The sequence below is a fragment of the Homo sapiens genome, chromosome 15, assembly GCF_000001405.40.
Source record: "Homo sapiens chromosome 15, GRCh38.p14 Primary Assembly".
Classification (NCBI taxonomy): Eukaryota; Metazoa; Chordata; class Mammalia; order Primates; family Hominidae; genus Homo; species Homo sapiens.
The window spans coordinates 87,319,494-87,345,602 of record NC_000015.10 but is presented as its reverse complement, the minus strand read 5'-3'; the positions used below and the strand labels follow the sequence as shown (position 1 = coordinate 87,345,602).

The 26,109-nt window shown below is 36.9% G+C and overlaps 1 long non-coding RNA gene across 1 annotated transcript in view; it reads left to right on the top strand.

Moving 5' to 3' along the window:
• LOC102724465 (uncharacterized) overlaps positions 1-21,434 on the top strand; it is a 379,687-nt gene extending 358,253 nt beyond the window's left edge. Inside the window, exon 13 of the long non-coding RNA NR_187944.1 lies at positions 18,773-21,434. This is a non-coding gene — a long non-coding RNA (uncharacterized LOC102724465). The remainder of the gene's footprint in view (positions 1-18,772) is intronic.
• The last annotated feature ends 4,675 nt before the right edge of the window (positions 21,435-26,109 follow it).

Sequence of the window (26,109 nt, the reverse complement as noted above, 5' to 3'; positions counted from 1 at the left end):
TCACAAGCCCACGTTTTGAACTACTGCTAAGAGCTCTACAAATATCATTCCTAGGTCTCTGACTCTGAAGAAGTTACTTAATCTCTCCGAATCTCAGCTTCCTTATTGTTTCATGGAAATAATAATACCAAATTTGCACTACTATTGCAGAGATTTGGAAGCGATTATATACTTAGCACCATTACTTATTTCCCCATGCTCCTGTTTCACTTGCAAACAGTCACAAAAAATAGCTATTCCTGGTGTTTGTTTTATTATAGTTCTTTGTAACCGTCAATACACAATGGATCTTACTAAGATTCAATGGGCATTTGGCTGGCTTCCTTCTAAGAAATACAACCAGAGGTAAAATGTTAAAATGAGGATAAATAATTCCTATGAAAACTGAAGTAACGTTTGTCAATCACAGTCTTAGATTGTGACTTTGGCTAAATGTGAAATGACCAATTCAAAATTCACAATTAGCTGTTGGAATTTGGGAATGAGATTTTATAGAGATTACTAATTTTCCAGAGGGACATATTCCTGGGCTAGATGAGAGATTTCCCGTTGGATTTTTGCATGCTCTTGCATCTTTGCCATTAAAAAGGGCAGTGCCATGGGCTAGAGGAAGGGAGACTTGATATTAAAAAATTTAAGAAAACGATGCAGGCTCCAAGGAGGTGAGTGGAATGTGACAAATGAAAATTGTATATGATTTCCAGAAGCCAAGGGAGATTGGCACCATTGTTTCATAAAGGAATCGATGGCATCATATTTAATAGGAGGAAACGTGACTACCATGGCAGAACAGCTTTCCAGGAAAGATGTGAGAGATGGGGTGGGAGACTGGGCATGTCACTACAGAAAGGCAACCAATTCTCCTTTTACCTTTTACTCTGTACTTTTCAGACAGGTGTGCCAGAGTAACAAAACTGATGCAGCTTAACACGCTCTTAACCAAATGGTCTATTTGTTTATTTAGAAATCAGCATTGCCTTTTTTGCACTGAATTCACCAGTTACCTGGATGGTTCCTTAACCAGGAATAAAATAGTAAAAGAGAGGTCCAGAAAAAGAATTAATTTTGAGGCATCTTATTTTAGAGAGTAAAGGCCTTCTTTTTTCACTCTGGCAAGATTCTTTTTTCCTGCATTAATTTGACATTGGACTCACAGGCTAGCTACATGTTTGTTGATGATGTGAGTTTACAAATGTTTAAGCTAGGCCAGAGCCCCATCGGATCACTGCTCTTCAGTATTCACATGTTTTCCCGTCTTCCTGTCTTGCTCTGAAGCTGTCCTAAAGAGAGATCTTGTTTTGTGTGTGTGCATGTGGTGTATGTGTTTTCTTAATTGCAGTTTCTTTGCAGCTGGAATCCAGCTTTTCCTTTCACTTGGTGAAAAGCATCCACAAATATGTTGTAGAGGATGTGCTAATTAATGGATGTCCAAACATCTGGGGAGAAACAAGCAAAGTTACAGTTAACACACCATAAACAAATACAGAAAGGGCGGACAGTTTGAGCACATGAAAGACTGCTTGGAGGAATGTATTGTGTATACTCTCTCTGCACCTGTTTATTAGCACAGTTTTGTTTGGAAGGGAAGACGATTTTGTCTTACTCTCTGAATGTTCTAACTTAATGCCTGATTCTATAAATGAAGAACTGCTCGTCTGTGCATGGAAAGTCTCTTAGGGAAGGGAGAAATGATTCTGCTGGCAATCTACAAGCAACCCAGGAGCTTTAGTGATGGAGTGCTTCTCTGTTTCTCACGTGCATGTTTATGCACACATATGGATTAAAATGTGGTTTCAACCTTCCTCTTTCAGCCAGCCTAAAATTATTCTTTCCCATTCCTCATTCTCTCTGATTTAATTAGCTCTCCATACCATGCACCAGCAGGTCTACAGAAGTAACAACTATAAAATATAATAAGAGCTAGCATGTTCTGTGCACCTGCTGAGTGCCAGACCATCTTCTTAGGTACTTTATGTGCATGATTCCATGTACACCTCACAGAAGCCTTATGAGTAAGGTGTAGTCATTCTTCACATTTTACAGAGGAGAAAACTAATGGATAGAGAGGTGAAGCAACTTGGTCAACATTCGATAGCTATTTATGGCATGGCTTCTATTCATAGTTTTTGTCCCAAGTTTTACTTCCTAATTGACAACTTGCTCTCCCTTTTATACAATGCATTTCCTGACTTTGGATTTTTTCACTTGTTTTGATCTGTTTTTGCTACTATTAGCTTTTCTATCCTGTGATCTATGTAGTTTTTGACTCTCAGGTTTCTCTCAAGCACTGTAGCTCATAGTTACCATACTGTTTCTCCCCATCGTGGGATGGCTCTGCCATTTATCTGTGCTTGTGGACTTCACAATGAAGACGAACTCCAACCCTTGAGCCTATATCCCTCCAAATCTCTGTTTTCTAGAAGGAAGGAGGACTCCTGTCTATTATGTTTTTGTGTAACCCGTTTTAGTAATTGTAAAGCTGAGTTTACCAAGGGTGTACATGTTCAAGCACCATTGACTCCCAAAATATTTTTTCAGAGATAACCTAAGGGAATATAAGATACTTTCAGGAGCTTACATTTTTAATTATCCTTTACTGCCTCCATTATAGCATTCAAATACCTCAACGTGCCTATAAGACTGGCTGACCTGGTTCTGGTTCATAGTTCCAGCATCATTGCACACCTTCTCCATCAACCCTAGTATCTGGTTTCTAGCTTTCTTTGTTGCTGGCAGTTTCCCAGATCTTCCTCTCTGTCTCCTCCTCCTCCCCCTCTGTAGATCCTCTACGTGTGAGTGTACTCCTGGGCATATTCTGTGCTCTCAATCCATCTGGTCCTATGACTTAATTTTTTTTTAGCAACTCCTAAGTATATTTATCTAGTCCTGATCTTGCCCTTGAAACCAAACCGGTATATCCAACTGCTTACTTCATTCCCCCAGCCCCACACTGGGTAGTCTAAAACCATTGAGTTTGGCACAGAATTATTCAATAGAGATTGTTAGAAAGGCTTCCATTCAGTGCAAGTTATGTTGGAGAATCCATGTGTCTAGCATGGGACTGCACCTTGAAAAGAAGAGGTTCCATTTATCTCACCGAAAGGCACCCGTGTTCTAATGAGTTGTGTACTCACGGACCTGATACTCCACTAAGGGACACCATATTTTAATATGAACAAACTCAAATTAGCTTGGAGTCTCTCTTGCATTTTAAAGAATGCTCCCTGAGGGCAGAGTCCTTGTTGGGAATGCTATTGTAAATGGCTTTTTTTTTTTTAATTTTCAAATTCTGATTGTTCATTGCTGATAAAAGCAATTGACATTTGTATATTAACCATGGGTCCTGCAACACTGCAACTCTCTCTCATTAGTTCCAGGAATTGTTTTGTTGATTATTTGGGATTCTCTATGTAGATAATCATATAGTCTGTAAATAGAGAGTTTTATTATTTTTCTTTTCAAATTGCATTCCTTTTATTTTTTTTAAATCATATTGTACCAGCTAGAACTTCCAGTACAATACTGAATAGGCTAGTGAGAGAGGGCATCCTTATTCCTGATGCTGAGGAGAAAGTGTCCAGTATCTCAGAACAGTGTCTACCACACAGGAGGTGCTGAGTAAAATCTGGAGAATAAATAATAGAACAAATATCTCTTCAAACAGAACAAATATCTGTTCAAATAGAACAAATATCTCGTTTCAAAATCTATTGCTCTGCTTTAGTTAAATCCAGAAAGCAATGGTACTAGTTAGTTAGATGTTAAAAACTGGGAGGAAAAATATAACCCAGAATTTATTCATTTAAGAAACTTGGTGCACATAATCATAATAGCTAAATTTATTGAACTCTTACTATGTGGTAGACACATTTAAGTTTAATTCTCATATAAACTTCATAAGGAAGACACTAGTGTTCTCTATTTTATGGACGGAAACAAACATGTAGTCTATGTAATGAGCAAGATCACTTGGCTAACATAGAGTTAAGCAGAGCAGGAATGCTTCATTGCATATCTGAAGAAAGAAGTGGGAGACTAGGAAGACTCAGAACTACAGTGGCTAACAGGGAGTCCCATGAGTTGGGTTGAAATAAGGCTCAGAGCAGACATTGATTCATGTAGTTCCAGGACAGCATTCATCACCCTTTAAAAGAACAACTGCAGCCAGGTGCGGTGGCTCATGCCTGTAATCCCAGCCCTTTGGGAGGCCAAGGCTGGCGGATCACAAGGTCAAGTGTTTGAGACCAGCCTGACCAACATGGTGAAACCCCGTCTCTACTAAAAACACAAAAATTAGGTGAGCATGGTGTCGGCACCTGTAATCCCAGCTACTCAGGAGGCTGAGGCAGGAGAATCGCTTGAACCCAGGAGACGGAGGATGCAGTGAGCCGAGATCCCGCCAGTGCACACCAGCCTGGGCAACAGAGCGAGACTCCATCTCAAAAACAAAGAAACAAAAAACTGCATAATGTATTATGCGATTGGTATATATTTTATGACATAAAGGGTCAATAGGCATATGTTGGGTCTAACGGAGCAATTTGAGGTGTATAGGTACCCCACCTCTTTCCTCTTTACCTGTATGGTATGGGCTTTGGCCATATCACACATCACATCTTGTTCTACCTTTACTCATGCATCTTCCACTTTTCATATTGACCTTGTCCACCCGATGTCTTGGCAAACACACAGTAAATGTATATTGAATTGGACTGATAATCTAACAATTCTAACATTGACTTGTCTCATTCAGGAAGCATGATGGTATAATATTATGATGTCACGGGGTACTTGGTCTACATTTTTGAACAATTTTACAGTAATGTACATACCATTTTAAAGTAATGCAAATAATGTATAGACAAAAATGAACAACAACAACAACAACAGAAAAAAAAAAAAAAAAAACAGGAAAAAGCTCCACAATAAAAAGTTGGGTAACCTGAGTTAAGGTTCTTGTCTTCATAATTTTGTTTCACTGGGAGGAAGACTGTTTGTTTGTATATCCTTGTCCTTGTTTTCAAAATAAAAGTCCCATCTTTGGGGATCTGAAAAGTCTCCTTCTGTTACTCACTTTCTAAAATATACCTGTCAGGCCTACCCTATAAGAACCTTAAAATGTTGCCCACAGCCATTTTCTTCTCTGCAAACCAAGACCATGTAATAAGATGTGTTTGACAGAGAATTAAAATGACATGCTACCTATTTATCCAAAGACCACAGGAAGCAATAGTTGAGGAACAGTGTTGAGAGGTGTTTCTTTTCCATAAAGCTGTTATAATTACATAACAACGATGATAAGAAAGAAATGTAATCCATTTGAACTGACTGTATTTTATTTTTTAAATATAAACTTATCTTAGAACAGTTCAGATAGTTACAGAATTATTGTGAAGATAGTACAGAGAGTTCTTGTATACCCCGAAACTCAATTTCCTCTTTATTAATATTTTACATTTGTCACAATGAATAAAGTAATAACAATAAATTCTTACTAACTGAAGTTCATACTTTATTCAGATTTCCTCAGATTTTTTCTCTGATGTCCTTTCTCTGTTCCATGATCCGATCCATAACACCACATTACGTCTAATAGCCATTTTGGTTTCAGCTCTTCTTGAGTGTGATGCTTTCTCAGATGTTGCTTGTTTTTAGTGACCTTGAAAGCTTTGAAGATTATTGCTCTGAGATTCTGTAGAATGTCTTTGAATTGAAAATTGTCTCTGATATATGCTTTTACTTACTTATTTGTTTGTTTGTTTGTTTATTATGTTTTATAATTAGACCACTCCAGTAATGTGGTTTTGGGAGGAAGACCACAGAGGCAAGTGTCATTTTCATCACATCATATCTAGGATGTATATTATTTATACAACTTATCACTTTTGTTGTTAACCTTGATCCCCAGACTTGACTTAGTGTTTGTCAGTTTTCTCTTCTGTCTTTATTCTTATATTCTATACTGTACCTTTTGGATGAAAGTCACTATACCTTACATAATATGTATGTAACTCCCCATTCCTTAAATGTTGGAAGGGTATAGTGACTTTGGAATTCTTTTGCAGATGAGATTTTTTAAATTCTCACAATGTATTAAGTTGTTTATTTACAACAGTATGAGCTCATGAATATTTATTTTATACTTCGGGTTATAATAATTGAATTTTATTTTGCTACTCAAATTGTCGCTGTTGTGGTCATTTGAAGCTTTTTCAGTTGACTCTTGTATTCTTTTGACATCTGATCATTGTGGAGTTCTTCTGTTTGTTTTGTTTTTAGAACTTTATTATTACCTGGCACTACAACAGATAATAATTCTGTCATATAATCAGAATTATACAGTATTAGCTATTTCAGACTAGTTTATTTTATTTAGCAATGTGGAATAAGATTCATTTGTGTCTCCTCATGGTTTAGTAGTTCACTTATTTTTATCACTGAATACTAGTTCGTTTTGTGTATGTACCATTTATTTAGATTTTCTCTTATTTTTTATCTGTATTTTGTACTTGCCAGCATATAGGTTCTGTACATATTTAGTTAGATATTTAGATGTAGGTACTGGGAATGCTATTGTAAATGACATTTTTTTTTTAAATTTTCCAATTCTGATGGTTCATTGCTGATATAAAGAAAAGCAATTGACATTTGTATATTAACCATGGGTCCTGCAACGCTGCAACACTCTCTCATTAGTTCCAGGAATTGTTTTGTTGATTATTCGGGGTTCTCTACAGAATCATATAATCTGTAAATAGAGAGTTTTATTATTTTTCTTCTCAAATTGCATTCCTTTTATTTTTTTTTTAATCATGTTGTATCAGCTAGAACTTCCAGCACAATACTGAATAGGCTGGTGAGAGAGGACATCCTTATTCCTGATACTGAGGAGAAAGTGTCTAGTGTCTCACCATTAAGTATAATGTTAGTTCTATGGGTTTTGTTGTAGATATTTTTTTTTCAAATTGGGGAAGTTCTCCTCTATTCCTGGTTTGCCCATGGTTTTTACCATGTGTGAGTAGTAGAGTTTGTCAAATTCTCTTTCTGCATCCATTGACATGATTGGTGTTTTTCTTCCTCAGTCTGTTGATGAGGATTACATTAATTGATTTTCTGCTGCTGAACCAGCCTTGCATAACTGACCCAGAATAAATCTCACATCATTGTGGCATATAATTTTTCTCATAGATTGTTGAATTTAATTTCTTAATGTTTTGCTTAAAATTTTTGCATCCATATTAGTGAAGAATATTGGGCTTTGATTTCCTTTTTGTGAGTCTTTACCTAGTTTTGGTATTAGAGTAATGTTGGTCTTACAGAGTAAGTTAGGAAGTTTTCCCTCATCTGTTTTCTGTGAGAGATTGTGAAGAATTGGTATAATTTCTTCCTCTTATAGTTCATGTAATTTAGCAGTGAAATCATGTGGACCTGGTGATTTCTATTTTGGAAGGTTGTTAATTGATTCTATTTGTTTAGACACATGAGTGGTCAGGTAACTTACTTCTCTTTGTGTAAATTTGTACTGTTTGTGTCCTTCAGAAAGTTAATCTATTTCATGTAAGTTATCAAATTTGTTTTTATGTGTGTTTACATGTTCATAGCATTTCTTTATGTTCTTTTAATGCCCATGGGACCAATATTCATGATCTCTCTTTCACTTATAATATTGGTAATTATTCTTGTTTATTGGCTAGGCTGGTGAGAAGTATATCAGTTTTATTGCTTTCTTCAAATAACCCCATTTTGGTTTATTGATATTCTTCATTGATGTCCTGCCTTCAATTTATCTGATTATTGTGATTAATTATATTATTCTTTTTCTTCTGTTTTCTTTAGTTAAAAATGTTCGATTTCTTTTATTTTCTAAGCTGAAAAATTATCAATGTTAGATCATTTTTCTTTTCTCATATATGTATTTCATGATACATATCTTCCTGTAGATATTGTTTTTGCTGCATTCAACAACTTGTATAAGTTGTATCTTCATTTCTATTAGTTGAAAACATCTGCATATTTCTCTTAAGACTTCTTTTGATTATACGTTATTAAGAAATCTATTGTTTAATTTTTCAACTATCTTTATTGATTTCTGGTTTAATTTTATTGGGAGTTTGAGGACATGTTTTGTTAAATTTCTAATTTTTTAAATTTGTTGTGGTTTGTTTTATGACACAGAATGTGATATATCTTGGTGACAGATCCATATCAGCTTGAGAAAGTATGTATTTTGCTATCTCTGGATGGAGTAATCTATAAGTGTAAATTAGATCAAGTTGGTTGATACTATTATTCAATATTTTTCTGATTCTCTGCCTGCTTGAGATATCAGTTATTCAAAGAGCAGTACTGCAGCCTCCAACTATAATAGTAGATATATTTATTTCAAGTTGCAAGTTATACCATTTTTTTGTCTTATGTATTTTGACTCTATTGTTAGGTACACATACTTTTAGCATTGTTATTTTTGCTCAATTTACTTCTTTATCATTATTTAATGTCTTTTATTTCTAATAATTGTTCTTTCTTTGCAAAATCCCTTTTGTCTGAAATTAATATAGCAATTTCAACTTTATTTTGGTTAGTGTTACCATGGTATATATTTCTCCATCTCTTTAATTTTAATCTATTAGAATCTTTATATTTAAAATTAATTAGTTATTTGTATACAAAATATATTTGGCTCTTATTTTTCTATTTACTCTTACAGTCTCCATCTTTGAATTGGTGCATTTAGACCATCGATTTTTTAAGTAATTACTGATATACTTGGAGTAATATAAGCTGTGATTTAAACCCTTTTTTGTTCTTATCGCCAGTGAATTTTTTTTTTTTACTTTCTGGTTTTAATTGAGCATTTTATACGATTCAATTTTATCTCCTCTCTTAATGTATTCATTACGCTTCTTTAAAAAATCTGTTTAAACACTGAACTATAGTTTACAATATACATTCTAACTAATTTAAGCCCACATTTAAATTACAAAATTCAATTTCACCTGTAGTTCAGGTAACTAAAACAGAATATTCCTAATTCCTTCCTCTAATTTCTTATGTCAGTCATTACTGTCATTTTTTGACTTATTAACACTGTTACTATTATTACTTTAAATAAATAGTAATTTTATATATATTATTTATTTATTTCTGAGATGGAGTTTTGCTCTTGTTGCCCAGGCTGGATTGCAATGGTGTGATCTCAGCTCACCACAACCTCTGCTTCCTGGGTTCAAACGATTCTCCTGCCTCAGCCTCCCAAGTAGCTGGGATTACAGGCATGCGCCACCACACCTGGCTAATTTTGCATTTTTAGTAGAGACATAGTTTCTCCATGTTGGTCAGGCTGGTCTTGAACTCTCAAACTCAGGTGATCCTCCTGCCTCAGCCTCCCAAAGTGCTAGGATTACAAGCGTGAGCCACCGCACCCAGCCTCTTATTTATTACTTCTCTGATACTATTTCATTTTAAAATGTGGATCCAAGTTTCTTGCCATTTGCTACCTGCCTAAAGAAAATGTTTAATACAGCTTGCAGGGCAGAGCTGCTGGCAATGAATTCCCTCAGTGTTTTTCTTTGTTTGATAATGTCTTTATTTCTCCTTTGCACTTGAAAGATAATTTCACTGGATATTGAAATCTAGTCTGATAGTTGTTTTTTCCTTTCAATACCTTACATTGTTTTTACTCCAGTCTCTTCTTGCTTGCCTGGTTTCTCTTGAGAAAGTATGCTGTAATCCTTATCTATGCTCCCTAAAGGTAATGTGTCTCCCCTCAACCACCCAAGGACCATCCTTTTCCCCTGGCTACTTTAAAGATATTCTCTTTTCTTTTGTTTGTCTGAAGTTTAAATAAGATATGTATAAATGTATTTCCTTTGGTATTCATTCTATTTGGTGTTCTCTCATCTTCTTGGGTCTGTGATTTAGTGGCTGTTATTAATTTTGGAAAATTCTCCACCAGTGTTACTGTATACGTTGTTTGTACTCTATTCTCTCTTTCTTCTGGTATTGCACTTATGTGTGTCACATGTTTTGAAATAATTGTACAGTCATTGAATGGTCTGTCCTTTTTTAAAACTATTTTTTCTCTTTCTATTTCAGTTTGTGAAGCTCCTATCATCAAACTCACTGATTCTTCACTAAACTGTGATCAGTTTACCAATGAGCTCATTATAAACATTATTTATTTCTATTACAGTATTTTTCATGTCTACTTCTTTCTTTCATTTTATTCTCGGAGTTTCCATCTCTCTTCATAGTTTATCTATTTGTTTTCTCAAGCACTCTACTTTTCCCATGAGAACCATTACCATATCAATTATAATTATCTTACATTTTCTATAATTCCAGCATCTTTGTCATATCGACTGGTTCTGATGTACCAACCTCTTCAAACTGTAATATTTTGTTGGAAGCTTGATATGATATTGGTCATAGGAATTGAGATATATAAGCCCTTAGTATAAGGTTTTATGTTAATTTGACTAGGAGTTTAGGTTTTGTTTGATGCTTATTGTCATTATAGGTACCAGAGGCTTTAAATTCTCCAGTGTCCTTGATTTGTCTTCTCTTTTCACATTGGCTTCCTCAGAGAGGGTCTGCATCTTGCAGTTTTTTCAGCTGTAATCTGTAAACCTATTCTCCATTTTGATGTGGTGTTAAGGCATAAAACAAGAGGAGTGTTCTACAAAATTCTAATTAAATCTAATTCTTTTACTGGCCTTGCTTCTCTGAACTGTGATCTTCAGAAGTTCAGAAGTATTTCTTCTTTTAGGGCCAACCTCTCCAACCTCCCACTTTTGGTGTGAAATACAGGCTAGAGGGGACTGGAGTTGGAGGAATGTTCTTTCCTTATTCCTTGGGACAAGGTTCTGGTAAATTCTTATTCCCTGGGTCTTTATTATAGGGAAGGCTCTGGGCATATTTCAAAAGGATTACCCTTTAACTCCTCCTACTAGTGCCAGGAAAGTATCTTTCTCTGGTCTTCAGCATGTGAAGATTCCTGGATGTTGCTGGAGGTAAATCCTACAGAAGTGTGGGAGCCTCCCTAGGACTATAGCCCCAGAATGAAGTATGAGCTTCATTCAAACTAGTACACACACCCTCTCCAGCAATTCATCAAAATTATTATTTAAGTGTTTCTATCATTTTATATCCTTAGTGGTTTCTGCTCTACATAAACAGATTTCACCTGTAACTCTGAATTTATATGGTTCTTCAGATTTCAGGCTGGAGGTTAGGCTTGAAAACTCATTCCTCTGATGGGTATAAGAAAAGTCATTAGTGTTTAACTTACCTAGATTTTTTTTGTTGTAAAATGGGATATGTCAGAGCTAAAATTAGAAGTCCCTGTTTGTTTGTTTGTTTTTGTTTTTAAGAGCCAAGGACCCTACATCCTGCCCTCTCTTATAGAGTGGTTAAGAGCGATGAGTGATGACTACAATTTTAAAGAAAACAATCAGAGACAATATATTTCTCACCTGAGCTGTGCCTGCCTTCTATACCTGTGGCTGGAGGGTCGTACCAATAACTTTCCTTAACTTGGTTTTGCCCTGGAGATATTTCTTTTTAAAAAGATGCTCAAGCACACAAGAGAATGGGAGTCTTCATGGATTGGCTCTATTTAATGATATATAAAATAAATAAATTTTTCTCTACACTCACACAGAACCCTTCTGACACCAAATGTCTGGTGGTTTTTCCCACACCAACCAATTCTCCAATGTTTGGTGGACAATTTAACTCAATTCTGACATTAAATGCACATAGTTTGTATAGACTCCACAAGCTAAGAGCTCAGTGGCACAAGACTTACCCCCAACTTCAGATGCCAGTTGAAAGTCTGGACCTCTTGTACTTATGACCCACCAGCTATAAGTCAGGAATATCCATGACTCCTTGGGTTCAGTAATTTGATAGAATGGCTCAAATAATTCAGGGAAATATTTACTTATATTTACCTGTTTATCATAAAAAGATACAACTCAGGATACATCTTTCCCAAATGGAAAAGACGCACAGTGCAAGGTACAGGGGCAACGTGGAGCTTCCACATGCTCTCTCCAAGCATGTTGCCCTTCCAGCACCTCTATGTGTTTGGCCACCCAGAAGCTCTCTGAATCCTTTCCATTACAGTTTTGATGGAGACTTCATTACATAAGAATTACTGATTAAATAATTGGCTATAGTTTTGAGGAGGAGCCAAGATGGCCGAATAGGAACAGCTCTGGTCTACAGCTCCCAGCATGAGCGACGCAGAAGACAGGTGATTTCTGCATTTCCATATGAGGTACCGGGTTCATCTCACTAGGGAGTGCCAGACAGTGGGCGCAGGTCAGTGGGTGCACGCACCGTGCGCCAGCCAAAGCAGGGCGAGGCATTGCCTCACTCGGGAAGCGCAAGGGGTCAGGGAGTTCCCTTTCCGAGTCAAAGAAAGGGGTGACAGACGGCACCTGGAAAATCGGGTCACTCCCACCCAAATACTGCGCTTTTCCGACAGGCTTAAAAAACAGCACACCAGGAGATTTTATCCTGCACCTGGCTCAGAGGGTCCTACGCCCACGGAGTCTCGCTGATTGCTAGCACAGCAGTCTGAGATCAAACTGCAACGCGGCAGCAAGGCTGGGGAGGGGCGCCTGCCATTGCCCAGGCTTGCTTAGGTAAACAAAGCAGCCAGGAAGCTCGAACAGGGTGAAGCCCACCACAGCTCAAGGAGGCCTGCCTGCCTCTGTAGGCTCCACCTCTGGGGGCAGGGCACAGACAGACGAAAAGACAGCAATAACCTCTGCAGACTTAAATGTCCCAGTCTGACAGCTTTGAAGAGAGCAGTGGTTCTCCCACCATGCAGCTGGAGATCTGAGAACGGGCAGACTGCCTCCTCAAGTGGGTCCCTGACCCCTGAGCAGCCTAATTGGGAGGCACCCCCCGCAGCAGGGGCAGACTGACACCTCACAAGGCCAGGTACTCCAACAGACCTGCAGCTGAGGGTCCTGTCTGTTAGAAGGAAAACTAACAAACAGAATGGACATCCACACCGAAAACCCATCTGTACGTCACCATCATCAAAGACCAAAAGTAGATAAAACCACAAAGATGGGGAAAAAACAGAGCAGAAAAACTGGAAACTCTAAAAAGCAGAGCGCCTCTCCTCCTCCAAAGGAACACAGTTCCTCACCAGCAACGGAGCAAAGCTGGATGGAGAATGACTTTGACGAGCTGAGAGAAGAAGGCTTCAGACGATCAAATTACTCTGAGCTACGGGAGGACATTCAAACCAAAGGCAAAGAAGTTGAAAACTTTGAAAAAAATTTAGAAGAATGTATAACTAGAATAACCAATACAGAGAAGTGCTTAAAGGAGCTGATGGAGCTGAAAACCAAGGCTCGAGAACTACGTGAAGAATGCAGAAGCCTCAGGAGCCGATGCGATCAACTGGAAGAAAGAGTATCAGCGATGGAAGATGAAGTGAATGAAATGAAGCGAGAAGGGAAGTTTAGAGAAAAAAGAATAAAAAGAAACGAGCAAAGCCTCCAAGAAATATGGGACTATGTGAAAAGACCAAATCTATGTCTGATTGGTGTACCTGAAAGCGATGGGGAGAATGGAACCAAGTTGGAAAACACTCTGCAGGATAATATCCAGGAGAACTTCCCCAATCTAGCAAGGCAGGCCAACATTCAGATTCAGGAAATACAGAGAACGCCACAGAGATACTCCTCGAGAAGAGCAACTCCAAGACACATAATTGTCAGATTCACCAAAGTTGAAATGAAGGAAAAAATATTAAGGACAGCCAGAAAGAAAGGTCAGGTTACCCACAAAGGGAAGCCCATCAGACTAACAGTGGATCTCTTGGCAGAAACTCTACAAGCCAGAAGAGAGTGGGGGCCAATATTCAACATTCTTAAAGAAAAGAATTTTCAACCCAGAATTTCATATCCAGGCTAACTAAGCTTCATAAGTGAAGGAGAAATAGAATACTTTACAGACAAGCAAATGCTGAGAGATTTTGTCACCACCAGGCCTGCCCTAAAAGACCTCCTGAAGGAAGTGCTAAACATGGAAAGGAACAATCGGTGCCAGCCGCTGCAAAATCATGCCAAAATGTAAAGACCATCGAGAATAGGAAGAAACTGCAGGAACTAACGAGCAAAATAACCAGCTAACATCATAATGACCCAAATTCACACATAATAATATTAACTTTAAATGTAAACGGGCTAAATGCTCCAATTAAAAGACACAGACTGGCAAATTGGATAAAGAGTCAAGACCCATCAGTGTGCTGTATTCAGGAAACCCATCTCACATGCAGAGACACACATAGGCTCAAAATAAAAGGATGGAGGAAGATCTACCAAGCAAATGGAAAACAAAAAAAGGCAGGGTTTGCAATCCTAGTCTCTGATAAAACAGACTTTAAACCAACAAAGATCAAAAGAGACAAAGAAGGCCATTACATAATGGTAAAGGGATCAATTCAACAAGAAGAGCTAACTATCCTAAATATACATGCACCCAATACAGGAGGACCCAGATTCATAAAGCAAGTCCTGAGTGACCTACAAAGAGACGTAGACTCCCACACATTAATAATGGGAGACTTTAACACCCCACTGTCAAAATTAGACAGATCAATGAGACAGAAAGTCAACAAGGATACCCAGGAATTGAACTCAGCTCTGCACCAAGTAGACCTAATAGACATCTACAGAACTCTCCACCCCAAATCAACAGAATATACATTTTTTTCATCACCACACCACACCTATTCCAAAACTGACCATGTACTTGGAAGTAAAGCTGTCCTCAGCAAATGTAAAAGAACAGAAATTATAACAAACTGTCTCTCAGACCACAGTGCAATCAAACTAGAACTCAGCATTAAGAATCTCACTCAAAACTGCTCAACTACATGGAAACTGAACAACCTGCTCCTGAATGACTACTGGGTACATAACGAAATGAAGGCAGAAATAAAGATGTTCTTTGAAACCAACAAGAACAAAGACACAACACACCAGAATCTCTGGGACACATTCAAAGCAGTGTGTAGAGGGAAATTTATAGCACTAAATGCCTACAAGAGAAAGCAGTAAAGATCCAAAATTGACACCCTAACATCACAATTAAAAGAACTAGAAAAGCAAGAGCAAACACATTCAAAAGCTAGCAGAAGGCAAGAAATAACTAAGATCAGAGCAGAACTGAAGGAAATGGAGACACAAAAAACCCTTCAAAAAATTAATGAATCCAGGAACTGGTTTTTTGAAAGGATCAACAAAATTGATAGACTGCTAGCAAGACTAATAAAGAAAAAAAGAGAGAAGAATCAAATAGACACAATAAAAAATGATAAAGGGGATATCACCACCGATCCCACAGAAATACAAACTACCATCAGAGAATACTACAAACACCTCTAAGCAAATAAACTAGAAAATCTAGAAGAAATGGATAAATTCCTCAACACATACACTCTCCCAAGACTAAACCAGGAAGAAGTTCAATCTCTGAATAGACCAATAACAGGAGCTGAAATTGTGGCAATAATCAATAGCTTACCAACCAAAAAGAGTCCAGGACCAGATGGATTCACAGCCGAATTCTACCACAGGTACAAGGAGGAACTGGTACCATTCCTTCTGAAACTATACCAATCAATAGAAAAAGAGGGAATCCTCCCTAACTCATTTTATGAGGCCAACATCATCCTGATACCAAAGCCGGGCAGAGACACAACCAGAAATGAGAATTTTAGACCAATATCCTTGATGAACATTGATGCAAAAATCCTCAATAAAATACTGGGAAACCAAATCCAGCAGCACATCAAAAAGCTTATCCACCATGATCAAGTGGGCTTCATCCCTGGGATGCAAGGCTGGTTCAATATACACAAATCAATAAATGTAATCCAGCATATAAACAGAACCAAAGACAAAAACCACATGATTATCTCAATAGATGCAGAAAAGGCCTTTGACAAAATTCAACAACCCTTCATGCTAAAAACTCTCTATCAATTAGGTATCGATGGGACGTATCTCAAAATAATAAGAGCTATCTATGAAAAACCCACAGCCAATATAATACTGAATGGGCAAAAGCTGGAAGCATTCCCTTTGAAAACTGGCACAAGACAGGGATGCCCTCTCTCACCACTCCTATTCAACATAATGTTGGAAGTTCTGGCCAGGGCAATTAGGCAGGAGAAGGAAATAAAGGGCATTCAATTAGGAAAAGAGGAAGTCAAATTGTCCCTGTTTGCAGATGACATGATTGTATATCTAGAAAACCCCATTGTCTCAGCCCAAAATCTACTTAAGCTGATAAGCAACTTCAGCAAAGTCCCAGGATATAAAATCAACGTACAAAAATCACAAGCATTCTTATACACCAACAACAGACAAACAGCCAAATCATGAGTGAAATCGCATTCACAACTGCTTCAAAGAGAATAAAATACCTAGGAATCCAACTTACAAGGGATGTGAAGGACCTCTTCAAGGAGAACTACAAACCACTGCTCAAGGAAATAAAAGAGGATACAAACAAATGGAAGAACATTCCATGCTCATGGGTAGGAAGAATCAATGTCATGAAAATGGCCATACTGCCCAAGGTAATTTACAGATTCAATGCCATCCCTACCAAGCTACCAATGACTTTCTTCACACAATTGGAAAAAAGTATTTTAAAGTTCATATGGAACCAAAAAAGAGCCCACATTGCCAAGTCAATCCTAAGCCAAAAGAACAAAGCTGGAGGCATTACACTACCTGACTTCAAACTATACTAAAAGGCTACAGTAACCAAAACAGCATGGTACTGGTACCACAACAGAGATATAGATCAATGGAACAGAACAGAGCCCTCAGAAATAATGCCGCATATCTACAACTATCTGATCTTTGACAAACCTGAGAAAAACAAGCAATGGGGAAAGGATTCCCTATTTAATAAATGGTGCTGGGAAAACTGGCTAACCATATGTAGAAAGCTGAAACTGGATCCCTTCCTTACACCTTATACAAAAATTAATTCAAGATGGATTAAAGACTTAAATGTTAGACCTAAAACCATAAAAACCCTAGAAGAAAACCTAGGCATTACCATTCAGGACATAGGCATGGGTAAGGACTTCATGTCTAAAACACCAAAAGCAATGGCAACCAAAGCCAAAATTGACAAATGGGATCTAATTAAACTAAAGAGCTTCTGCACAGCAAAAGAAACCACTGTCAGAGTGAACAGGCAACCTACAAAATGGCAGAAAATTTTCACAATCTACTCATCTGACAAAGGGCTAATATCCAGAATCTACAATGAACTCAAACAAATTTACAAGAAAAAAACAAACAACCCCATCAAAAAGTGGGCAAAGGACATGAACAGACACTTCTCAAAAGAAGACATTTATGCAGCCAAAAAACACATGAAAAAATGCTCACCATCACTAGCCATCAGAGAAATGCAAATCAAAACCATAATGAGATACCATCTCACAGCAGTTAGAATGGCAATCATTAAAAAGTCAGGAAACAACAGGTGCTGGAGAGGATATGGAGAAATAGGAACACTTTTACACTGTTGGTGGGACTGTAAACTAGTTCAACCATTGTGGAAGTTAATGTGGCGATTCCTCAGGGATCTAGAACTAGAAATACCATTTGACCCAGCCATCCCATTACTGGGTATATACCCAAATGACTATAAATCATGCTGCTGTAAAGACACATGCACACGTATGTTTATTGCGGCATTATTCACAATAGCAAAGACTTGGAACCAACCCAAATGTCCAACAATGATTGATAGACTGGATTAAGAAAATGTGGCACATATACACCATGGAATACTATGCAGCCATAAAAAAGGATGAGTTCATGTCCTTTGTAGGGACATGGATGAAATTGGAAATCATCATTCTCAGTAAACTAAACTATCACAAGAACAAAAAACCAAACACCGCATATTCTCACTCATAGGTTGGAATTGAACAATGAGAACACATGGACACAGGAAGGGGAACATCACACTCTGGGGACTGTGGTGGGGTGGGGGGAGGTGGGAGGGATAGCATTGGGAGATATACCTAATGCCAGATGATGTGTTAGTGGGTGCAGCTCACCAGCATGGCACATGTATACATATGTAACTAACTTGCACATTGTGCACATGTACCCTAAAACTTAAAGTATAATAATAATAAAAAAAGAAAAAAAAAGAAAAAAATAATTGGCTATTGGTGATTAAAGCTAATCTCCAGCCTGTCTTCCCCTTCCCAGAGGTCAAGGGTTAGGGCTGAAAGTTCCAACCCTCTTGTCACATGGTTGTTTCCTCAAGCAACCAGTCCCATCCCCTAAGAGTCACCTCATTAGCATAAACTCAGGTGTAGTTGATTGGGGCTTATTATGCATAGCAAAAAATGCCCCTCTCACCCCTATAGGGAAATTCCAAGGGTTTTATGAATTTTCTGCCAGGAACCAAGGACAGAAACAGAATATGTATTTCTTCTATGACAATATCATAGGATGTCTCTATTATATTTGTATATTTTCATTGTTTATTCAAAAGATGTTGTGAGCTGAATTATAGCAGAAAAATCTCTGCTCCACATTCTCATGTGACTGTCTCTATCTTTAGTGTGTTCAGATGCAGAATTTTAACCAACTTCATTTCCGCTCTCCAAGGGAACCCATGGATACCTGTCACTACAGCATGTTTCCTTAAGAATACCAAGTTCTTATTTCTTTATTTTCTTTTTTTCCTTTAGAGTGCCACATCATTGTTATTCCCCCAAGATCCTGGATTCCAGACAGCCCAGTGGAGCACCATAGAAAGAACTTTCAGGAAGCAGAGAATGGTTCAGGGATTCTGATTTTCCTGAACTTCCTCCTCCCTATCCACCTCCAATTAGGAAAAAAGAAGAAAAAAAAGATTAAACACGTCCAGAATGTTAAAAATCCAGTAGGGATTTTAAATGTTCACTATTACAGCACATACATTTATACACAAGGAGGTCTGAAGGCTTTCTGGTTTCAATTAAGATTATTATCTCCTTTGAGTGATGGTTTCTCCTTTTTTCCCCCAGAATTCCCTTTGGCTGATCTATTTTAAAAGAGTATGAGCTAGGGATAACTAGGCTTATTTGTATTGAGTCTACTTTCCCCTCCAGGTCTCTTTGTCTTAAATTCTGAAGTCCCTTTTCCTATCCTGCTAAAGGTTAGCAGCTTGAAATCAAGGACATGAGTCATTGTTACTTTTCATGTGGAAGATAAGCTCTGTGGCTTTTATAGCAAAAAGTATATACAATTCTAAAATTAAAGTGCAAGTCAGAAAGGCCATTGGGGCTGTGAAAAGTCCTTATCTAAATCAGAAGACCAAGGTCAAGTTTGTATCATGCCTATTAGTACATGGGTTTCATTGGTTAAGTTACCAAACCTCTGAGCCTCAGTTTCCTTATCAGTCAAATGAGTGCAATAATTCCCGCCCTATCATCTGACAAATTATTGAGAAATTCTAATTACATGCCTATAATTTTCAGGTCTTTGTTTTTCAGGTCTTTGTTAAGCATCATGCACATAAACGTTTGTATTACACTTTCTTTAGCAGTATTTGAACATGGTACCTTATTCAATGTTCTGAAACAAATCATGAATACTTCCTGGTGTGGTGATAATATCTTCATAAACTTGTGACACCCGATGGAATGTGAGTCGGTTTTGTAATAGCCTTTAAAAACTTCCCTCAATACATAATAAAGAATGGTAAAAAATTTTGGTTGAGGAAACTAATGATACATCCAAAATAACACATTCAGTTTTCCAGTGAAGAATATTCTCAAAGTAAAATGCTGTTTAGACTTACTTAAAGGTTCTTAAAACAAGTTATACAAAGGGATAGTATTGAAATCCATCTTTTAATAGATATATACTAGTAATTATGTTGAAGACCCAGGAAAATACTATTAATAGGTGTGAAATTTAAATCACACTAATTAGTACTTTAAAATATTATTCCTTCACGTTATTTTAAAGAAGCTTTTCCTACATGTGTGACCTATTCTGTCAAACACAGCCATGAATATCTAGTATACTAAATTGGTCCTATTCTGACTCCAATTTTCAAACACTTTTAACATAGGACTATAGAGTTCATATTTACAAAGTGTGTGCATGCCTATGTGTATCACTAATATGTAGTATATGCATACTAAATATGCACATGGGTATTTCAAACTCTGTTGGCTTGACTCTAAATGTTCAGCTATCGATGTTATTCTTGGTATTTAGAGGTTTTATTTATATATTTATCTTTCTTGACTTTCCCACTGGGAGGTGTCTTCTGATATTTCAGCCTCTAGCATCTCAGTCCCATACATTCAGCCCTCACTGGGAAGTTTAATTCCAGGTTACTAATTTCAGAGCATCCCAAAGATGCTGTTTAGCTAGGTAGTGCCTTAATATATCTTAGAATTAAAAGAAAATACTTTCTGTCTCTCAGGGCATTTGAAAGCTCAAACTCTCCTCTTTGAACTTCCCTCTCTCATTATATTGCCATCACAAATCTTTGTCCATCACTAGGTGGTACAACTCCCCCTCCCCTCACCTGCCTCACACACATATGACCTACAGTGGAAAACTGAGCTCCAGATGGTTCATGGACTTGCCCAAAGTCACCTGTACCATTGCTGACTTGGAACTTGAATGTCCAAGCCTTCTAAATCCTCATCTGCATTTTTCACATTAGAGAATTTTGATCTCTGACTTCCAACAGTTATTTCAGGAGAGGAAAATGCATGGCTTCACTATCCAATGGACTAAAAAATTGAGTAAGGGATAGAACATATTTTACACTCCAACTTGAAAACTTGTCGTAATGATGCTCTTCCAGCATGAAGAAATTAAAATTGGCCTTCCTCTTCGTTCTCCTGAATTGTTCACTGTAACTGAGTGGAGATATTTTAGGAGGGTTCTTACTGTGGCTTCTGAAGACCTTTTTCAGAATAAGGTCTTTTTTTCAAAAACACCACACAAAATACAATACAAAAATACAATACAAAAATTTTCAAAAATACAGTATTAGTTTGAAGCTTGGTAAGTTTTGACTATTGCCTATACCTATGTAACTGCTACCTAAAACAAGATATAGAAATATTCTAACTTCCCAGAGAGATTCTTCATGCCCCTTTCATTCAGTGTCATCCCAGACCCCACAAAGGCAATTCCTTCTGATGGTATGTATGTATTCTTTAGTGTCTGATATTTTTTAGATTTATTTATATTGTCATATGTATCAGTAGGCCATTCATTTTTGTTGTTGATGAATATTTCATTGTGTGAATATGCTGCAATTTGTTGATTCAAATACCTCCTGATAGTTGTTTTCCGTTTGGGGCTGTTAAGAATAAGGCTTCCATAAACTTTCTTGCCTAAGTCTTGCATGCATTGATGTTTTTATTTCTCTTGCGTACATAGCTGGGATTCAAATTGTTGGCTTATAGGTTGTATCTATGCTTAGTTTATTTTTAAAATTGCCAGAGTTTTTGAAGCCTGCCTCTACAAGCAGTGTGTGAGAAGTTTAGCTACTTCATTACCTCCAAACCATTTGGTATTATCAGTCTTTTTATTTATCTCAATTGGAAAATATTAAATGGCTTTATATTATGGCTTAAAGTTGCATTTACCTGGTAACTGAGTGCCTTATCTTGAGCTTCTTGTCTATTCATGCATTTTTTTGGTGATTATGTGTTTAAGTCTTTTGCCCATTTAAAATTGGATTTTTTTTGTTATGGCTTTATAGGAATACATCATGTATTCTGCATATAATTTATTTATCCAATATTATATATTGAAAAACTTTTCTTCTTGTCTGTAATTTGCCAGTTTATTTTGTTAATGGTGCTTTTTAATGAGTGTATCTTTTTAATTTTGATGAAGTCTTATCCTATTTGTCTTTTATGATTAGTGATTTTTATTTGTCTATTTTTGTCTGACCCAAGATTAAAAAGGTACTTCCTATATTTTCTTCTAGAAGTTTCATGGTTCCAGCTTTCCCATTTCAGACTCTGTAACATCTCAAGTTAACTTTTGTGCCTGGAATGAGTTACAGGTCAATAATTACATTGTTTATTTGAGAATCTAACACCATTGTTTGAAAATAATATCCTTACCTCATTCATTTGACTTGGCACCTGAATAAGTCATCTTTAATACTGAGAAATGGTATTGCTGGTCTTTCATGCATTTTCTGAGACATGTAGATGACTTCATGGATACTTAAAATATTATGGGTCTATCACTGTGCCTTTGCACATAAACTTTTTTCTGCCCAAGATGCCATTCTTCTTATTATTTTGTGTTTACTACCCAAAACACAGCTTAGTAGTCTCAGACACCTTCGTTAATTTTTCCCATATGGTGCAACTAAATGCCTCTGTTGGGCACAGTGAATTGCTCTATCAAAATATTTGTCTTATGACTTGCTAATTTTCTCTTTACTTGACTTTCTCCCCAAGCAGACAGTGATTTACTTGAAAACAGGTCTGCTTTTTTATCTCTGTATCTTTATTACTCAGCACTGTGACAGGAAAAAAAAGATAGCCACTCAATTTATGATTTTAATCAAATTTGATGGTCCTGATATTCCACAGGAGCAATGTAAGATAGTAAAAGAAATCCATATACTTTGGAAGGATATAATTTTGATTTCAAATATTGGTTCTGCTACTCACTAGCTGTTTGAATTGAGGCAAGTTATTTAATTTCAAAATCTTAGTGTATTAATCTATAATATGAAGCTGTGTAGAACTTCATTTGGAATATTTACAATAAATAAAAGAAATAGTGTCCAGTACATACAGTGTATAGTAGCTGCTAAATAAATGGAGTGAGTGTATTATTATTTTAGCATTAAAAGGGCAAATGAAAGGCTTGTGTTGAGCTCACTAATTACCTGCTATGGTATCCAGGGACTCTTAATGACTAAGTATAAAATGCCATGTTATCTTCTTTTCATAAACACACAGAGTAACAATTTGGGTGCAGTATTCAAGGTATTGCTTCACATAGAATCTGTTCTTTATCTGTCAAATCACAACAAAAGCACTGAACCCTAGCAGACATCAATTCTTGGAATCATAATATTACATCACTGTGGAAATTAGCCAAGTAAGAATGTACTCCAAATTTCAAAGTTGTAACTCTATAGATGTCTTGGAGACATGATATATGAAAGAATAAAACATGTCATAGGAACCCCGGAGATATGGTTACAGCTCTAATTCACATTAACTTCCAAAGAAGGCACTTTAGCTATTAGGCAGTTCCACTAAAAGTCATATTCCTAGGACTACTCCAGAGAATTTATCCTGCTTACCACGCTTTCCTTGGGTTATACATTTTGGTCCCATCCATCCCACTTATAGGCACTTGAGAAGCTTAGAGAATTACAGTATTTTCTCTTGGAAATGCTTTTAAGTAGCATTTTAAATACATGATTTTCCAACATCCCTCCCACTTATGGCACCCATATAGTACCCAGTGTACATATCATTTCCCTGCTGATTGGCTTTCATGTGTTCCAAATGCTTTTCTAAATTGACCTGATACCTATTAAACCTGAAGTGGACTTTTAAGATCTGAAGAACATTTAATCAATGGGACATTAAAGTAAATAAATCATAGCTGAGAGGAGTTCCTTCAAATGATATAATCTTTAATGAGCATTGCACTTGATTTAATAATTTATTAAATATATAAAAAATGATTGGTAAATTGAACACTTGTCTCAGAGCAAGCAATTAGGGCTATTTTTATTCAATTTGTATTTCCCTGAGTTGAGACAATATTTGTTAAGTCTTAAGCCTATTGAATACATCTTTGAATTGTTTATTTTTTTCAATAAAACTCTAAATATTTATTAAATCTTAGTGTTGGTTACACCTGCCTCCTTATTAAATTACAGAAAGTGCAAATAAGAATCAGGGAAGATTTACTAAGATCACAGTAACTGGTATTGAACCTCCAGTGAATTTGTAAAATCTACATAATATTGAATAAATCTGGGTTAAGATTGGTTAAATCTGTTTCACCTCCATTAAATCCAATTAGGGATGTGTTAAAGAGGCCCTATTGTATTGAAGCAAACTTTAAAAGGAGATCATATTTTTTTTCCCCAAATCTCATTAAACTGACATAGGCTGTTTTTGAATTTCCTTTATTCTTCTTAAATTATTGATTATGACTTATGTATTTATGTGAAAAGAGTAGCTTTCTTGTTCTTAACAACCATCTCCCTCTGGACCGATTCAGTTCCTGAGGCCTTGTGTGGGGCCTGGGAAATTGCAGTGCATTCTCCTGGTTGGTTCTTAGTCAAACTTGAATGTTCCCTATTTGAGCTTCTGCCCTTTGTTTCCAAATCCTTGCTGAAAATGAGCAGTTCTTCCCATTCTGGTGCATACATCTCTTATTCCAGTATATCAAGATAAAGGTCATAGACTACATTAAAAATGATTCCTTACTTCTTGTGTTACTAATAACATCTTACATTATTAACCCTGGAACTATTTAAAAAATCTAATTTACTCTTCTCTATGGAGGCCAGACCAGATACTCATCTATATCACTCAATGGAATCATTCATCTCTATTTCTAGGAGAAGTTAGCCTGAGATGGGAGTTTATTTTCTGTATTTCATTTTGCCTGATAATGAAACCTGGCTAACAAATTTTAATCAATCAGTGAATATTTATTAAGCTCCTACTATGTGTTCAGAAGTCTTTGTATGCCTAAGAGCCTATTTTCAAATCACTAAAATCTGATTAGGAAAATCAATTCACTTCAACAAATAGTTTTTGAGTGACTATTGAGCCTCTAATGCCAGGTAGGTGATATAAAGATAAGAAAGATAGAACTCCTTTCCTTCCAGGACACTATTATCTACTTATGAAGGGTAGGGAGGTGGAAAAGAGAACAATGACGTGAATTTTATTTCTATGAAAATGTAGAAAGTGTGGTGTTGAGTAATAAGACACCTAAGAAAATACGTGGAGTCAGATTTTGCATGACATTAAATGCCATGCTAGAGGGACATCCAAGTCTGCAGAAAGGGAAAGTGATGCTAAGAGGGTGGGAGAAAAAAGGGAGGAGAGAAAAGATCAAAAGATGACTTTAACTTGATTTGAGTCAGACTGATTCTAAAGATGATGGTGTCATTAACGAATATGCACAGCACTGAGGGAAGAGATAGCATGGGAGGGAAGAGAAGCTCAATTTTTTAACAAACTAAGTTTGACATACTAGCAAAAAAAAAAAAAAAAAATCTACGTGCAAAAGCCAGCAGCAGTTGGAATTTACGAATAGAGCTCTGGGAGATAAGGGAGGCAGGGGGGGCCAGGTGCGGTGGCTCATGCCTGTAATCACAGCATTTCAGGAGGCCAAGGCAGGTGGGTCACTTGAGGTCAGGAGTTCAAGACCAGCCTAGGCAACATGGTGAAACCCCGTCTCAGCTAAAAATACAAAATTTAGCTAGGTGTAGTGGTGCATGCCTGTAATCCCAGCTACTCAGGAGGCTAAGGCAGGGGAATTGCTTGAACCTGGTAGGCGGAGGTTAGTGAGCTGAGATCACACAGTTGCACACCAGCCTGGGTAACAGAGCGAGACTCCATCTCAAAAAAAAAAAAAAGCAGCGAGAGAGCCAGAGGAGACATATTTGGAAGTCATCTGCTTAGAGAACATAGCTAAATCCACAGAGCTGTCAACAGAGAAAGCAACAAAAGACCGGGTGGACAAGATATGCACTCTAGAATTTTAAGATGATCTACCTGATCAGACTAAAAGGACCATATTTGTGAATAATACAAAGTGAAGTTGAATTGTAGTAAGCAGATAAGTAGTTAGAAATTTGAAAAACAAACATAACATTTACACTAACAATGCTTTTGATTTTTTCCTGAGACTGTTTATCTTATTCGTATACAACTTCTGCATGGATATATTTATTTGGCAAAATATTCAGACACTGCGGAACTATGTAGGGTGAAAAGGAAAAGCTTTTCTCTTCCTTTCATTGCAGTTCATCCCAATGATAACAACTTGGGATGTACCTTCC